General features: G+C 36.7%; 1 long non-coding RNA gene across 1 annotated transcript in view; it reads right to left on the reverse strand.

Moving 5' to 3' along the window:
* LOC101929485 (uncharacterized) overlaps positions 1-19,305 on the reverse strand; it is a 254,397-nt gene that overhangs the window by 51,345 nt on the left and 183,747 nt on the right. The gene's annotated exons all lie outside the window — the stretch shown is intronic.

Consider the following 19,305-nt stretch of genomic DNA (forward strand, 5'->3'; position numbering starts at 1 on the left):
AGCAGTGTCTGATACTTGATAGGGATTAAATAACTCCTTAGTCTTGATCATGCACAGAGAAGCACATATGTCTCAGATAATCTCAGCTAAGAGCAGACTGAAGTCTCCTAATATTAGAACCATTACCGACTTTTGTACTTTTCTAGGAACTAGTATTTAGCAAAATAAACAAAATATCGAAAAGCAAAAACAAAACTAATGAAAGAATAATGTCACTACGCTTTCTCCAGCATTTCATTCAAACACAATTATAACTGGGGCAAAATAGTATTTACCCTCCAAGATGCCTCTATGTTAGAGTCAACTAAAATTCACTTTTTAAGAAAGCTCAAGACCCTACTCTCTTCCTTCAAAATGTTTTCTATGAATCACTTGCAATTTGATATATTAACAAAAGAAACAAATTAAAATTTACATTATACCACTTCTGGGCACTGGGGACAAAGCTTTCAATTTTGATGTAATTGACTATGCTGTGATTCTTTGGATGCTAGATGACGAGTTAGTGGGTGCAGCACACCAGCATGGCACATGTATACATATGTAACTAACCTGCACATTGTGCACATGTACCCTAAAACTTAAAGTATAATAATAATTAAAAAATTAATTAATTAAAAAAAATTAAAGAAAATTAAAAAAAAAGTTTAGAGGCAGTCTCATACTGTTTCCCAGGCTGGAGTACTATGGCATGATCATAGCTCACTGCAGCCTCAAACTCCAGGGCTCAAGTGATCTTTCTGTTGGAACTACAGGCATGTGGCACCATGCCTGGCTTATTGAAAAAAAACTTTTTTTCAGAAGGGGGGTCTGGCTATATTGCCCAGGCTGGTCTTGAATTCTCAGCCTCAGGGGTCTCCCTACCTCAGCCTCCCAAGTAGAGAATGTTTCTTTAAGCTCATAGTACAAATATCTAGCATATTAATAATGTCAATACTCTAACTACATTTTGACCTTTGACTTCATCTATCTAATTAAGAAAATTTAATCTTTGAAATGAACTAGTTTCTGTTCAATGGTCCGGAAAAATAAATGCAAATGATATATTATCAAGTTACCTAACGTTATTATGCTTTCAGAGGTTTATTTCATTTGAATTTTTGGAGATTTTTTATAATAAATGTTTTCAAGTGACATAGTCTCAAAGTCACAGACTTTGTTGACATCTTCATTATGGTGTCTGTGTATGTGTGGGTTTATATGTATATATGTACAGACAGAAAGATAGGTATAAATATAGATATATAGATACATTTATATACTCCCTATATAGTCCTCGATGTGGCTCCCTAAATATTATATATAAAAATTTAAAAGCTAAGACATGCTAGAGTCAGTGGCTCAGGAAAGAATATTCTCATACCAAGGATAGAGTGCTTAAACTGAATCAGCACAAGTCAAAAGTTGAACTGTTTGGAATGTTCTTTGATTTTTATCAATTCAGAGACTTTTATTTGTTTTCCAAAATGTAATTGCAACCTCCATCTTACCAGTTGTTATTCTTCTTATAGAACAGGAAATTTCGGAAATTCACAGAGCACAGATTCTTTTGATCTATCTAGAGCTCATGCCCAAAGAGAAAATTTGACCCTGGTCAAAGGGGAAGATATGCCAATAAAGCAGCTGTCAACAGGAGTTGTGGTCTCAGGAGAGGAGCACAGGTTTTATTTAGCTCTAGGAGATACACACCTTGAAATATATCTATACTACATTTTTAAAAGTTATTGTCCAGGACCATAGAGCAAATGAATGAGAAGCTTTAGGTTAAGATTTTAGCATTCTTTATGCACTTATCACTACATTACAGAATATGCTTTGCCTCCAACTCCCAAAATAGATGCCACCAAGAGAAGCTGATGTCCAATAGAATCTAATGTTCAGTGATAAAGTCGACTCGGAGTATGCATAACCTCATGCATTAAACTTGTATTTATTGATTGATGCCTACTTCATGCTAAGCACTCTTCTAGGGGCAGAGGAACCAAAGTCCTGTCACTCAAGGAGTTTACATTCAATCATCTAACAAAATCCAAAGGCTTAACCAACAGCAGTACATCAGGCTTATCAGAGAAAAGAGAGATGCTTATGGGGTACTTAAATCTCATAAGGAACCAACTATAATGTATCCAGTTTTGTACCATCTAAAAATTTTCCTAAAGATTACCGAGGGGTGCTTATAAAAATGCAGACACTTTGGCCCTACTTGCCATTGAATCAGAATCTGTCTAATTAGAACCCAGATATGCATTCCAGGGTTGAACAAAAGGTAACAAGCAGAAAAGGGAGTAAAAGAAATGTCCACATCTCTCCCGTCTGCCCTTCCCGTTTCTTTGTTAGTCTGAATCCAAGTCCCTCTGGTGCCTCTCCTCCCTCTAGTTCACAGAGCTGAAAATGTGGTTCAGCTTGATGCAATCACGATAACTATAATCATACAAATTGCATATTCCACTCGGCATGGTGCCGCACAGAGAATTGACGGCCTTGGGCAGGGCAGTCATGTATCAAAGCTACAGAACCTGTGTAGAATTCTGGAAATGCTGGTGTTCTGCTTCAGTTTATGTTCCCTGTAACCTTGTGGTCTCTCTCAGTCGCTGTACCAGATAGCAGGTAATCCATCAAAAGGGAAACATCATAAACTACCCTTCTGCCTTTTTCTATTTTTCTACTTCTGGTTACAAAATCGAAATTGGAGGGAGTTTTGAGATAGCGTAGACTGCTTGGAGCTCTCAGAATCTTGGCCCTTGTGTTTTGGTCCTTAGCCTGTCCCAACTGAGGTTTTTTAATCAGACAGAATTCCTCTTTTTCTCTGAGCTATTCCAGAAAGCAATCACAAATTACAAAGAAACTGCATTGTAGGTCAAGATGCTTTTCTATTGGACTTACCCTAAATGTAATGGTTTGATTTCTAGTTACTAATCTTGTCTTATTAGTTATAATAAGTTTATTCTTATACACTTTTATTAATATTTTATTTATATTAATTTATTATATTAATATGATTAGTTACTAATTGACTTACTAGCTATGCATTCTCAATGAAATTAGTTAACCTAATGCTGCCTCAGTTTAGTTACCTGTAAAATGAAATATAAAACAATATTGTATTAGTTAGCTTTTGGTGTTTAACAAACCACCCAAAAGTGCGACAGTGTAAAACAATCATCATTTACTATTTTTCACCTCTGTGGGTGGTCTGGGTTGGTCTGATGTTTTAGGCTGGACTTGACTAACCTCAAATTGGCTTATTCAGACAAATATACTCATCTGGTAGATTAGTTGAGAACTAGCAGTTATAGAATAGCTTTGGTTGAGTTATTCAGTTCTGATGCACATGGTCTCTCAGACTAGCCTGGGTTTGTCCTCCTGACAGTGGCAGGGCTCAAAAAGCATGAGACCTAGGCTCAGAATAGGCACAATGTTACTTTGCCAAAGCAATTCATAAGACTAGCCCAAAGTCAAAGTGAATGGAGACTGCAAAGTTACAGCATGGAGAGGACTGATAAGAGCCCATTATTTGGAGCCATCAATACAATAATTCTACAAAATATTATCCGTCTGTAAGCATTGCTGTGAGAATTAATCCACATAATCTTACTTGTGTAGTGTCGGGTATATGATAAAAACTGGCAAGAAACCATCCTATTATATGGAGCTGAAATAGTTTGTCTTCTCATTTAAAAGATGTTTGCTAAATAGAAGGGCAATGACTGAATTCCTCTATTATTGGTATTTAAGGACTTTTTTTTTTTTTTTGACAGAGTCTCGCTCTGTCGCCCAGGCTAGAGTGCAGTGGCGCGATCTTGGCTCACAGCAAGCTCCGACTCCCGGGTTCACGCCATTCTCCTGCCTCAACCTCCCAAGTAGCTGGGACTACAGGCGCCTGCCATCACGCTCGGCTGATTTTGTGTTTGTGTTTTTAGTAGAGACAGGGTTTCACCGTGTTAGCCAGGACGGTCTCGATCTCCTGACCTCGTGATCTGCCCGCCTCGGCCTCCCAAAGTGCTGGGATTGCAGGTGTGAACCACCGCGCCCGTCAAGAAAAAAAATTCCCAAAGCAGTTGTCATTGCAAGAAATAAAGCCTCCATTCCCAACATCCTCTAAATCAGGAGTCAGAAAACATTTTCTGTAAAGGGAAAGGTATTAACTAGTTTAGGCTCTGAGGGCCTTCTGTGTCTGTCACAGCTATCCGATTCTGCTGTTGTAGTGAGAAAGCAGCCATGGATAGAAACATCAACAAACTGGCACATCTATGTTCTAATAAAACTTTATTTACAATATCAGAAGGTAGGTCATATTTGGCCCACAAGTCATAGTTTACTCTTCCTTGTGCTAAATGACATAGCGTATTAAAAACTGCAGAGCTGGCCGGATGCAGTGGCTCAAGCCTGTAATCCCAGCAATTTGGGAGGCCGAGGCGGGCAGATCACGAGGTCAAGAGATTGAGACCATCCTGGCCAACATGGGGAAACCCTGTCTCTACCAAAATTACAAAAAATTAGCTGCGCGTTGTGGCACGTGCCTGTAGTCCCAGCTACTCCGGAGGCTGGAGGCAGGAGAATTGCTCGAACTTGTGAGGCGGAGGTTGCAGTGAGCTGAGATCGCGCCACTGCACTCCAGCCTGGCGACAGAGCGAGACTCCATCTCAAAAACAAAACAAAACAAAACAAAACAAAACAAAAAACTGCAGAGCTTACAAAGAGCTTCACTGATTGGTACAATTTATTCTTAAATTCATTAGAGTTCTCTTTCCTTTGTTTCTGAGTTTTTAGTATGTCATTATTGAATTATTATGAAGCAAATACCTCCAAATACCAAACAATCAATATTTAAAGTCTCTCTGTTGTACTATATTATGCCTGTATTTATGGTTGAGGTATTTTACAAACTTTTTGTGGTATAAAAAACCAGAATAGGAAAATGCTTTGTTTGCATTCAAACAGTTCTTTAATAATATGGTTTATTTAGATGATTGATAAAGGTATACTACATATACATTAAAAGTATATTATAAATCACATCTTTTCATTTGTGTAATTTATTATTCTGAAGTTGAATACAATGTGACTTTAATCTATGAGTAGAAAGAATAAAGTCATAAAAGTTGGCTATAGCTATTCTTTGGCTCCCTAAAACACAGCAGCATTTATTTTGGATTCTCTAAATTAATTGATACTGGTTTTAAAGCTATGATAACATGGGCCATCATAAGGCATCATATATTAATGGATCCATCTAGTAAAAAGTTTGGCTTTTCACTTTTCTGAGAGCTATCTTTGAGACAAAGACCTTGTTTCAGCTAGTCACTGACTCTTTGTTTATGGTGAGTATTGGCTATAGGATGGGGGAGAAAAAATCACTCAGGAAATGTTGAAAATCTTCAAATATATGTTTGGATAAAGCAAAAAACAATAATTTCATTACAACTATTTTTATAAATTTCCATGGCAATGACTACTATTTCAGAAAAGTTAGGGCAGATACAGTGGCTCAGGCCTGTAATCCCAGTACTTTGTGAGGTAGAGGTGGAGTATCACTTAAGGCTGGGAGTTTAAGACCAGTGTAGGCAACACAGTGAGACCCCATTTCTACAATTTTTGTTTTGTTTTGTTTTGTTTTGTTTTGTTTTGTTTTAGGTGGAGTCTCCCTCTGTTGCCCAGGCTGGAGTGCAGTGGTGTGATCTTAGCTCACTGCAACCTCCGCCTCCCGGGTTCACGCCATTATCCTGCCTCAGCCTCCCGAGTAGCTGGGACTACAGGCACGCGCCACCACGCTTAGCTAATTTTTGTATTTTTAGTAGAGATGGGGTTTCCCCGTGTTGGCCAGGATGGTCTTGATCTCCACCTCATGATCCACCCACCTCTGCCTCCCAAAGTGCTGGGATTACAGGCGTGAGCCAACACAGCTGGCCTCTACAAAAAATTTTTTAAAAATAGCAGGGTGTGATAGCACACGCCTGTAGTCCCAGCTACTCGGGAGGTTGAGCTGAGATGGTTGCTTAACCTTGGTAGGTTGAGGCTGCAATGAGCTGTGATCATGCCACTGCTCTCCAGACTGGGCCATATAGTGAAAGCAATAAAGAAAGAAAAGAGAGAGACAGAGAGAGAGAGAAAGAAAGAAAGGGGGAGAGAGAGGGAGGGAGGGAGGGAGGAAAGGAAAGAAGGAAGGAAGGAAGGAAGGAAGGAAGGAAGGAAGGAAGGAAGGAAAGAGAGAGGGAGAGAAAGAAAGAAAGAAGAAAAGAAAAGAGGGAGGGAGGGAAGGAAGGAAGGAAGGGAAGGAGAAGAAAAAGAAGACAGAGACAGAAAGAGAAAGAGAAAGGAAGGAAAGAGAGAAGGACAAGAAATAAAGAAAAAGAAAGAGAGAAAGAAAGAAAGGAAGGAGGGAGGGAGGGAAGGAAGGAAGGATGGGAAGGAGAAGAAAGAAAGAAAGAGAAAGGAAGGAAGGAGAGAGAGAAAGAAAGACAGAAAGAAAAGTTAAGAAAGAAAGAAGGAAGGGAGGGAGGGAAGGAAGGGAGGGAGAAGAAAAAGAAAGAAGACAGAAAAAGAAAGAGAGGGAGGGATAAAGAGGGAGAAAAAGAAAGAAGAAAAAAAGAAAGAGGAAGGAAAGAGAGAGAAAGACAGAAAAAGAAAGAAAGGAAGGAGGGAGGGAGGAAAGAAGGAAGGAAGGATGGGAAAGAGAAGAAAAAGAAAGAAGAGAGAAAGGAAGAAAGAAAGGAAGGAAGGAAGGAAAGAAAGAGAGAAAGAAAGAAAGAGAAAGAGAAAGGAGGGAAGGAGGGAGAGAAGGAAGGAAGGACAGGAAGGAGAAAAAAAGAAGACAGAAGATGAAAGAAAGAAAAAGAAAGAGAAAAAGAAAGTAAAGAAAGAAAGAAGAAAGAAAAAGAAAGAAAGAATGAGAAAGAAAGAAGAGAGAGAAGGAGGGAGGAGAAAGGGAGAAAGAAGTCATTAGTTCACTTATATTTGCAATTTTAGGAAAGTTAAGTCGTTGGTTCATTTATATTTGCAATCTCTAAATATCTCTCACTTAGCAACTCAGTTTTCCCAATTATTTTTGTCACAAATATGTGTATTTTTGTTGTTTTCTTGGTGTTTATAATCTGTATGATCTCAGAACTATATTTATCCTTACTGCTCTTTACTTATTTGTTTATTTTAATTTTCACCATGCCAACTGTACAAATGATTTTAGGTAACTTATAAATCAACTGCTTTTAGAAACAAACCCTTACTTAATACAAGGACACACAGGCCTTTGTGCTTGTAAAATTAAGTGGAGGAGAAAAAAGAGAGATAATTCTTCCAACAGCTTGAATAAAATGATGATTACATTTGAATATTCAATTTTGTGTTGAACATGGTGGGAATCAAAGCAAAAATGAAATAATGGTCATTTATTCGTTTTTTACTGTAGATAAAAAGAAATGCCAAATTCTAGTGAATAGACACTTTTTTGAAATTATATACTAACAGAAATTTGACAAATATTTCTCAGAAGATGAAAGCTTGTCCATCTTTTCTTTCCTACAAAGTATTGTGAAAAGCCAAAGAAAAAAGTACAAAAACTTTATAAGGTGACCAGTGAGCTTGACTAAGAAAGTCTAAATGTATTTTCTGGTTATCTAAAATGATACAAGCATAGGATTTTGAAAGTATAATAAAATAAATGAATGCATAATAGTTCTTACAGCTTATACCTAATAGCTTGATTGTTAATTCTTACCATTGATAGACACCTTGCTAAATATAGATAAATTCAATAAATTCATTATCCCTGTATGATGATGACAGTCTTCCCCAAAATAGAAATTCAGAATTGTCTGCTTAAAACATAGTGACTTAAAACTATTACATTTAAATACACCAAAAGAATTTTAAGTTTTATTTTTAAATGACAGGAGCTCTTGAAAATAAAGCCAGTATAGAAATTTTGTTGGCTAAGGAGAAATATTTTCTCAATAATTTGAGAAAGATTTTTATTGTAAGTCAATCCTTCGTATTTATTTTATGAGTTCAGTCCATGATGATATGCACTGTGTCTATCACATAATTTTTTAGATATTGTGAATGATTCCAGATTAAAGAACATTATTTTTATACAAACAATAAGCATTTCTTATTTAAGTGCACAGCCAAAATTTTGCCATATTATGAATGATCTGAGATTCTGCTTCTCTGTCTGTGTCCTTTAAAAGAATCAGGTCTTTGGCTGTTTAATAGCATAGAAAGACCAATTATCAATAAATTTTACAGGTCATGTTGGTTACAGTTTTTTTTCTATGGAAAGAGAGACAAAAACTGTTGAACTTAGCAGGTCTCAGCTGAGCTTGAGGACATTTCAGGAAATGCATTTAAAAGGGAGTTGAACTGGACTTTCCCATTTTAGGCTTAGAGAAGCCATCAGATCATTACATGCCTTTCTCCATTTCAGCAGGGCAACGATGCTGTCTTGGAGTACAGTACGGTGCTCTATTGGCACCTCTTGTGCCCCAATTCATAGTATAAATTTTAGTGCCCAGTGTCATGTAGGTGAGCATCAAGTAGATACTGTTAATTAACCTACTCCTATAAAATTGCTTTTCTGGTTGCCTGGTTGATTTCCCCTATTTTGTGTTTTCTTCCTTGTCATCTTCTGAATATATTATTGTGTTGAATGAGGCTTGTTCAACCAAATTAGTGTGAAAGACTTATTCCTTCAGTTTCACTAATTTTTCCCTTTCTCTTATTATTAGCAGCTGGCATTTACTGAGTACTTAATAAGGGCCAGCTTTAAGGGCCATACACATATTAATGGATTGAATCTAAACAACAATCCTAGGAGATGGGTACTTTTAGAATCATCTCTTTACAGATGAAGACAAAAAGGCAATCCACCGGTTCAAGGTGATACAGCCAGTAAGTGAGAGAGCCAGGATTCTATCGCAGGCATCCTAATTTTAGAACGTTCTCTGACACCATTAATCTATTCTATCTCCCAAACATTGAAGAACAAATTAGGCCAAATGCCTTGTTCCACCACTTAGCAGTTGTGTTATTTTAGTCAGGTCACAGAGACCAATTAAGCCTAAATTTCCTCATCTCTAAAAAGAGGTCTAATATCCTCACCAAAGCATAGTTTATGGGCATGAGATGAAGACATACACATAGCAGACATTTGTAAAATCTAAACATAATTATGCAAATGTAAGGAAAACAATATTTTTTTAATTATTGTAATGGCTGAGGAAGAAAACTGTCTTTTCACTCATGAAAGGTGGGGAGGGTTAATGGAAGAAAAGGTAAATATTTACTAAGTGTCTTTTTCACAGATGAAATTATAGACTCAAAGGGAGCAAAGCAAAAGATGATTTAGTATAATAACAAATCAGCGATTTTACTCATAGTTTTCTTGAAAGAATATAGTTGTGATTTGATCGATTATGCATGCATGTCAGTAGGTAAAATAACTGATTCATACTGGAGTGAAATATTAAGTGTAAAATTTAAATACATTGTCTTGGGAAAGATGGTGGCAATGGCACTATTTTTTGTCTGGAGTCAGATGGCATTGTGCTTAGAGAGCTTTACGGAGCAGATGTGTCTTTAGCTGAATGGATATGATTAGGCTAAGAAAGGAGGGGAGGGCACTTGGGTATAAGAAATGACAGGTGGGTTGATTCAGAAGCTCAAATGCATAAAGCACATTGACAAGCTAGTCATCCTGGCTGACATGGAATATGACATTAGTGTGAAAGAGGGAATTAAATAAAGAGGATTCTCCAGAGTATTTTAAATCTTAGATTTTATGTAATAGAGTGTTAGTTATATTTATGCATGTTAACATTTTTTAAAGCATAATTTTTGAAGAAAGCAAATAGCAAAGAAATAATGAACACAACTTTATTGTGCAGCTTTGTCTTTGATAAAGAAGAGATGAAACTGTTCAACTTAGTTTGTAATTTAGTCATTAAAGTAGATTTTTCTGATTGGAAGACAAAAATAACAGGTTTAAACCTTGGCTTTATTTAAACGAAAAGAGATGTTAAGTTATATATTTTGATTTTTTTTTTTTTTTGAGATAGAGTCTCACTCTGTCGTCAGGCTGGTGTGCAGTGGCGCAATCTCGGCTCACTGCAAGCTCCGCTTCCCGGGTTCAAGTAATTCTCCTGACTCGGCCTCCCTAGTAGTTGGGACTACAAGTGCATGCCACCATGCCCAGCTAATTTTTGTATTTTTAGTAGAGAGGTGGTTTCACCATGTTGGTCAGGATGGTCTCCATCTCTTGACCTCCTGATCTGCCCACCTCGGCCTCCCAAAGTGCTGGGATTACAGGTATGAGCCACCATGTCTGGCCGACCTATTTTTATTTTTAATCTGCATGTGAAAGTTCAAAAAATACAGATGGGGGGAGTGACATCTTTAAATGTAGTGGTGGACTTTTCTCTTAGAAAAGTTGTTAACTCTTGAGGATCTGAGCTATCGCCAAACAATACCATTCAAGATAATTTGCAGGAAAAAACAAGCATTTACACAATTATTACTAAAGAGGTTAATTACTGTATTTCTAAAGAATTTGTTTTTTCAAAACATTATTATTTATCAATACTCACAGCAATTTTCTTGGGTAAATGTTATTATTCCCATTATAAAGAAGAGAAACCTGAGGCTTAACAAAAGGAAGTGATTTATATGAAGGACAAGAGATTAAGGTGGAACATGGATTTATCCCCAGTATTTTGACCTTAGCTTTCCAGACTCTACAACTATCTTTTAGTACCTAAGTTTGCTGAATTCATGAGGTTAATAAATTGTTTGAAGCCCTTGTGTTTCTCAATTTCTGAAAGCAAAGTAAATCATTAAATAAGTAAACAAACAGTTCTCTTTAAAAAGAGATGTCAAATTTAATTAAGCAGTTATTGACATTGATTTTAAATAAAAACATCATTAACTTGTACTTAGATGCTGCTATTAAAAAACTTCCTTTTTTATTTTTATATTGTTGAGTTTGTAAAATAATAATGTTAGAGATCAAAGGAAAAAAATGAGTTTCCTCTCCTTCACCAATAACTTGTAAATAAGGGAAATACATAAGATAATGCTCTGATAGCTCATTTAGGAAAATCAATGAACCTAATGAATGAGTAGTCTGGTTTAAAACAGTTTCTGGCAAACAGCCTTATAAATTTTCACAAAATTATCTATTACATTAAGAAAAAGAGGTAAATTCACAAGACTTACATATTATCATACATCGGATTAATGCTGTCTGGGAATAATTTCTACTAAATATAAGTTGAGAGAAACTATAAATAGATTAAGGTGACAAATGTTTTTTCTTCTATGTTTTGCCCCATGAAACATAATGACATCCTGTAGCTGAAAGGATATGGGAATATATATACAGCAAGCCTCTCATTAATGTATAACTTCTTGCTCAGAGAGCCAGGGTCTACTCCAACCACAAAACTGCATGATCACCTCCTGCTGTGCAACTTCCAGACAATAAAATGACACAAATTGAAACTCTGAAATGTTGCACCCTGGGTGGCAGAGTCCCAATAAATACGGTGCTACAGACTGGGCTAGAAAAGGGAAATTTTTGAAAGTAGTAAATGAAAATAACTGTAGTTTTTCATATACTCTCTAATATGGCATGTCAGAAGAATAGCTAAAAGGATAAGCAGGGAAAAAAATCTCATTAAGAGTATGAGGCTTGGCCAGGCATGGTGGCTCGCACCTGTAATCCCAGCATTTTGGGAGGCAGAGGTGGGTGGGTTGCTTGAGGTCAGGAGTTCAAGACCAGCCTGGCCAACATGGTGAAACCCCGTCTCTACTAAAAGTACAAAAAATTAGCTGAGCAAGTTGATGCATGCCTGTAATCCCAGCTACTCAGGATGCTGAGGCAGGAGAATCCCTTGAACCCAGGGTGGTGGAGGTTGCAGTGGGCTGAGATCGCACCATTGCACTCCAGCCTGGGTGACAAAGTGAGACTCTGTCTCAAAAAAAATAAAATAAAATAAAAGAATTTGAGGCTTGCTAGATGAAATAACTGAAAGTTCAGTGAGGAAATATACTAACCTGTCCTCATGCTGTCTATTTGAGAGGGGCTTTTAACCATATTCAAATACCAACCCCCAAAGTCTTCTTTGCAAACACAAGTCTGAATATATTTCCCCTTTTTAGAGGAAAAATTAATATTCAAAATATACTAATAAACAACATGGGATCTCTGAAGAAAAACAGCACCACGAAAGACAGGGTATATTATGCCTTTGTCTCCAAAACAGATAAACAAACTTACCAATATAATTGATTTCCTGGAATAGCTCAACTAATCCTAACTGAAAACTTGGACAAGTAACATATCATTCTGTGTCTCAGTTTTCTCAACTGTAAAATGGGGATAATAATTGCTCTCACATATTTGCTCTTAGGATTGAAGACCCTAATAAACATGGAACATATAGAACCGTTATAAATCCTGAATACATTCTTCTCCTGTTCCGTTGTTCCTCCCCCTCACCCCTTTCTTCTCAGACAACATATTAGAAAACTTCTTATGATACTAGAAACTGTAGCCACTCTAAGAAAAAGCAAATATCTATGAGAAAAGAAGAAGCTATGATACAAAGAGAATAGCATGCAAAGAAAAGTTAAGTGAAAGTAGAGCTAAATAAGACATGTGAAAGCTGAAGAAACTTTAAGATTGTCAGGCCGGGCACAGTGGCTCACGCCTGTAATCCTAGCACTTTGGGAGGCCAAGGCGGGCAGATCACGAGGTCAGGAGATCGAGACTATCCTGGCTAACACGGTGAAACCCCGTCTCTACTAAAAATACAAAAACAAAATTAGCCGGGCGTGGTGGTCCCAGCTACTCGGGAGGCTGAGGCAGAAGATAATCACGTAAGATAGTAAAGAGAAAATAATGTGGGAACTGAATCAGTAAATAATTGAACATTAACTCAATTTATATGTACTGAATAGATACTATGAGCCTAGCATTGTACCAAACTCTAGGAATAAATTTTTTTTAAAGAATGATGATTAAGAACAGTTCTTGTTTTCAGGGAAATCAGTTTCTCTCTCTCTCGCCCTCTTTCTTCCACCCGACAACCTTCCTAATCTACCTGTCTAGATAGAAATAAAGTGACTGGTTCAGGTTTGGGCTGAAGACCCAGATTAGTTCCAGGGGGAAATTACAGGGGCTACAAGAAAAAAATGTCTTGCTCCCTGACCTTGAGTTTGAGAAAGTCTGAGGCTGAACGTGCTGTATAGCTATTCTCTGATCACAAGAAGAGACGCTTTCTGAGAATAAAGCCAACACAGAGGAAAGAGAGAAAAAAAAACAAAGAAACAAAACAGAAGCAAACAAGGTACCTTGGGTGGCATCACTGAGTATTTATGCCTGAGCTACTCCAAAAATTTTCAGTTACATGAAACCATCAATCCACTCTTTTTCTGCTTAAGCCACTTTTAATTGTTATTATTATTTAGCCACTGGCAACAGAAAAGATGATAGTGATGCACCGTGGTTAGCCATGCATTTCCAAGAGCATCAAGCTTTAACAAACATCATTAAAACAGCAAGTAAAATGTCAGTTGTAAAACATAAATACAATAGTTTTGAAAAGCCACATGAGGAAAAATGCACACTTTGTAGCTTACGAACATACAGTAAGATACTGAATTAATAATGTTATGATTCTTTAAGGGTAATTCAAAATTGCTACTTACTCCCTGTCTGCCAATCATTTATTTATTTAAAAGCAATCATAAATTTTTTTTATACTTTGAGAAAGAGAACTTCAGATGGAGCCAATTTATCAAGATTTATTTATCCCAAAGTATACCCATCCTGCTGAATCTAACTGGCTCATTCTCCAGCAAGCTACCTTTCTTCATTCTATGGCAGGCTGTATTTCCCCATGGGAAATGCTTTGGAATATGTAATTATCTCTACCTCCAAGATGGTCTGAGCACTGACAGATGTGGTATTCTGAAGACACCACAAGTACAGGTTAGCAGAACCAGGCTGGGTACAATCGATTAGTTCAATTGGTTTCAAATAGGCAGTGAAATTTAAAGTTTAAGCAGAAATAGTAAGTTGAGGACATCAATAAATGGAAGTAGCAAAATTTCATGAAAACTATTTGAAAGGTATTGGGAAAATCATCTTATCAAAATCTCTTACTAAACACATAATTTTTTTATGTTAGTGATGCATTATTTTAAATCTTTTAAGTTCTCTAATGAAATGCAAGTTTTTTGGGGGACACATAGCAGTTCAATTCCTAGCAAAGATTAGTAGGGTGCACCAGGTACTTTGCTAGGCTATGGGGATACAGACTAGTGAGAAAGGGGGCCTGCAAAAGAGTAGATTGTTCTGGTAGACAGCTTAGTCCATATCAGACTAAGCCATGTTTAGATTACACTGACTAGGGCACTGAATTGGAGCTAGAAGGAATGGTACCAAAAAGTAAAGAGAGATTCCAGCAGAGAGAAGAACGGCAACCCATGGAGCATATGGTTTTGCTAAGAGCTTCTCTTATGTAGTAAAAAAATGACTCTTCAAAACATCATGCATTTCTTCCCTCTGATATATTGAGGGGAAATTTACAACACAAATTCCTCCTGATGCTATAATTCTGGCCTCATATAAAGAAAGCTGTCTGTACCTACTAAGCCTCCCATGTTGCCTAATTTTCTTTCATTTCTCCCACAGATATTTATTAGGCACTGCTACATATGCAAGTCAAAATATGCTGGCTTTATAAACAAAGATAGAAAACAACTGTCATGCCAAATAGCAAAATATGGTTGAAAAAACTTTCTTTGTGTAAGTCTGGCATGAACAAAATGATTCCTCTAGAGAACCTACCTAAAAGGTGAATTCAGTTTCATTCGCAGCACCGCCACTGTTTATTTCACACTGAAACCAGTTTCTCCTTTCATTATTGTAGATCTAACCTAGGTTAAACTTCAAAAAAGTTATAGTATTTTTCTATCAGTCTTTCTTACACTTTTTTAAATGGTGAAACTATTTTATCAGTGATAGTCATCAATTCCATTTTCTATCCTCTACAAGGCTTCCTACTCCTGAGATTTTAATAGATGAAAAGACACTAATATTTATTGGCTCCCTTGTAAGAACCAGACATCATGCTGGAGACTTTTATAGATTATTTCACAATATGGTTTATGTTTTCCTACCTTTGAAAATGTTACTCTGATATTAACACAAACAGAATATGATGTGGTCTAAAAATTTGTCATTAGTTCTTACTTTTCTTGTGCAATATAAAATTAGAAGATAAAGCATTCATACCACTATTCTTGCAGCTCACTAGTAAGTAATATATTTTTAAATATCCTTCTCAGTGTATTGGTCTTTTATAATATGCTTACAGTTATATTTTAAGCTTTATTATTTTAATTATTTAAAAATCCATAATTATTAAAATTTTAAAAATATAGGTAAGTTCTATAGTTATAAACAGCTACAAAAAGGCTCTGTTAATTTTCATATATATCTACATATACAATGTTTATCGATCTATCTATCTATCTATGGAAAAGCAAGGAAACTTCTACCCCATGCTCATTAATGTCTTTTTGGATCCTTAGCCAATTTATGAAACACAATTCTATTTAGTGTTAGAAGGTCTATTGTCCTCTTCAGGCCATGATTAGGTCGTTATCAGCTTCAGTTGCTTTTTTTTTTTTTTTGAGACAGAGTCTAGCTCTGTCACCCTGGCTGGAGTTCAGTGGCATGATCTCAGCTCATTGCAACCTCTGCCTCCCAGGCTCAAATGATTCTCCTGCCTCAGCATCCCAAATAGCTGGGACTACAGGTATGCGCCACAAATGCCCAGCTATTTTTTGTATTTTTAGTAGAGACGGGGTTTCACCATGTTAGCCAGGTGGGTCTCGAACTGCTGACCTCAGGCAATCTGCCCCCTTCACACTTCCAAAGTGCTGAGATTACAGGCGTGAGCCACCGCGCCTGGCCCAGCTGCTTTTTAGGTAGGTGATAAGTAACTCCAATTGCTGAGAACATCGTCTTGAAACCATGTTTTCCTGGTAGCCTCCAAATAAGAGTTTTCTCCTCTAAAGACTCCAATATCATGTTCTGGTGAGTGTTCCTCAGCATGTGGTGAGAGCTGAAGTGGTGGCAGTCACTACTGATTGTGAGCAAGATAATTTTAGGGTGTATGAGATTAGCCACTAATTTAAATTGTTATCTCTTTCTTTTACCTGTCAACAGTTTTTTTGATCCCTTAAGATCACTTGTCACTTAGGTCAGCACCTAAATGCATTTGATACTACTCTAATTAATGTTAGAAAATAAGAGGAGTTTCACAACATTTGGCATATAAGTACAATTTAACAATATTAAATTACATTTCGTTGTATTTTTTGGGTGCTTACATTTTACATATGACAATAATGCTGGTTTTTCTATTCACAGTGTCGGTAAAAAGCTATCTTTTCAATAAACTTAATTTTCAAAGTGTGTATATTCATATGATAGAATACTCAGCAATGAAAAACAAATGAACTATTGATGCATGCAGCAACATTAGTGTGTAGAATGTTATGTTGTGTGAAGGACGCCAGATACTCAAGAAAAATACTGTATGTTTCTGTTGAAAGAGAACTCAAGAAGGGGCTAAACTAAGTTATAATAAAAAAATCAATAGTGTTTGCCTATGAGAAACTCTGGTTGACTGGAAAGGGGCATAAGGAAACTTTATAGAGTGGCGGAAATGTTCTGTATCCTGATTTCATGGTGTTTACACAGGTGTATAAATTTGTCAAAACTCATATAACTACACTTACCATCCACGTATTTTTACGTACACTTTAACTCAGTAAAGAGAGAGGGAGGGAGAAGGGAAGACAGAGGTAGAGCAAGAGAGAGTTTTGGGCAAAAGACTAGATATACTACATTGTGTTACACTGATTTGACTGAGACTGGGAATTGTCTTTCTCAGAATCTCTTTTCCTGTGTGGCTGAGAGAGGTTCTGCACAATTCAGAAGGCAGCTGTGAAGGAGTAGTCATTGTTACCAAAGGTAGCTGTGGTTAGACACGATGTCTGTCCATTACAGAGGTGCCCAGACTGTCCTTGCTAGCTTTGCTCCTTGCCCAGCTCCTCTTCCTGACTGCCCATCCTGTTGACCAATGGCAGCCCCAGGGGTACCCCAGACGTTTAGCTGTGTAGCCCAGTAGCTGCTTCTGGCTATGCAGCTTGTAGCTATTTTTATAGACTCTTTACAAAATTCCCCTTGGCAGTCTCACTTCAGAGGTGAATATATTTGATTTCTCACATGTTCCTACTACATATTGTCAGATAAAACGCAGGATATCAGTGAAATTTAAACTTTAGATAAACAATCAAATAGAAAAATTATACTCATATATTGCTTAAAGATGTTTATACTAAAAAGATGTGTTATTATCTGAAATTCAAATGTAATGGGGTGTTCTGTATTTTTAGTTGCTAAATCTGGCAATCTTATCCTTTAAGCTCTGACTGGATACCTGTACCTGTCCATCGATGGGGTGATGAGATCCTTTCTCTCTCTCTCAGACCTTCACTTCCCCTGCTTGTTGCGCATTATTGTAAGGTCTAATTACTATAAGTAACTAATCTAGTTAATGTCATAAAAATACATTATTTGTGCAACTCTTATGGTGGCTCTATTTTCCTGACTAAACTCTGACTGATATGGGAGGGGGGTCAGTTTAAAGGGAAACTTTAATTAAATGTACATTCATAAGAAAGTCACCTATGATCAAATTTCAGCAAGTGGTACAGCTGCTCTAACACTGCACATTTCTCTTCCTTTGACATTGTGGTTCACAGGACAGATCCTTTTCATGGAGTTTAGTTCAGCACTACGCTTACATAGGTGTGATACAAATTTGTTTTTCCTCATCTTTAAGCAGACATAGCACATTCTAACATACCTTAACTACGCTCAGAGAAGTCAACCTGCTATTATCATGAACAGACCATGGTTTTGGAGTCTAACAGGCCTGAAAACATATTTATTTTGTAACTATGTGATCTTGGACAGATTAGATAACTTCTTTAAATTTTGCTTTACAAGTCTGCAATGTGGTCTAGATAATCTCTCCTCTACATGGTTACTGTGAGAATTATTTCACATATGAAGAGTTCCTAATACAGTGACTACTACACAGTAGATATTATTTTTCATTGGCCACTTTTCTTGGTGGGAAGATATCTGTTTCTATCTTCTAAAATATTTATCTTTCATAACCTGGAGGCTTGTACAAGTCTTGTATAACCAACTTTCAGCCCTCTGGCTCTGGGAAATATATTCAAATTTCTGAAGTCTTTCATTCTGTCATGAACTTGCAATGCCCTTTCCTCTCTTAGAAAGCAGGGACACTCTGGCATTTACTTTAATACTTTAAACCTTAAGATATTAAGGTTTAATACCTTTGGGCTACATATATATGAGACATTTGATTTTGATGACATGTTTACATTTTTAAGATCATAGAAACTGGTTGTTTCAGATGATTTTAGTTACTGGTATTTTGTTTAACTCCCTAAAGGAGTAAGAGAACCTTTATGAAAACCCCAATTTTTGTCTTTTATCTTTGGCAGAAGGAAGTAAACCAAGTCTGTAAATAATAAAAAGTCAGGGCTGATGTATTGCCAAAATAAGGAATAGATGAGTCACAAAAGCAAAAGGAAAGGTTGAACTAGCCAGATATTTGATGACATTAAAGAATTATTATTTTTAAATGAAATAATGCTATTATGTTTCTGTTAAAGGAAAAGAATCCATGCCTTTTAAAAATTAAAAAGAAAACAGAAATGTTGAAAAGTATTCTTTGAGATGAAGAAATAAAAATATTAAAAATATATTATCCAGAGTAAGGTGACACTGATATAATCAAATAGAGACATTAAAATTCTTGGCTCCCCCTTGGGAGCGGAAGAGGAGCATCCTAGGTTGAATCAGAAATAGTCATTCAAAAAACAGAAGTAATGACAGAAACAAATGAAATGGGGAGAGACACCAATTTGTGAAAACACAGGAAATGTTCTGTCCTTTTACTCCTCCTCTGAGCACTCACCCATCTCCCAGCTACCTCATAAGTCTTCATTCATCCTCGTCCTAACTCTTGGTTTCTTTATTTCCCCGAATCACTGCTTTAATATGGTTTGACTGTGTCCCCACCCAAATCTCATCTTGAGCTGTAGCTCCCATAATTCCCATGTGTGGTGGGAGTGACTCAGTGGGAGGTAATTGAATCATGGGGGTGGGTCTTTCCTGTGCTGTTCTTGTGATAA

Source organism: Homo sapiens, chromosome 3 (genome assembly GCF_000001405.40).
Source record: "Homo sapiens chromosome 3, GRCh38.p14 Primary Assembly".
Taxonomy (NCBI): domain Eukaryota; kingdom Metazoa; phylum Chordata; class Mammalia; order Primates; family Hominidae; genus Homo; species Homo sapiens.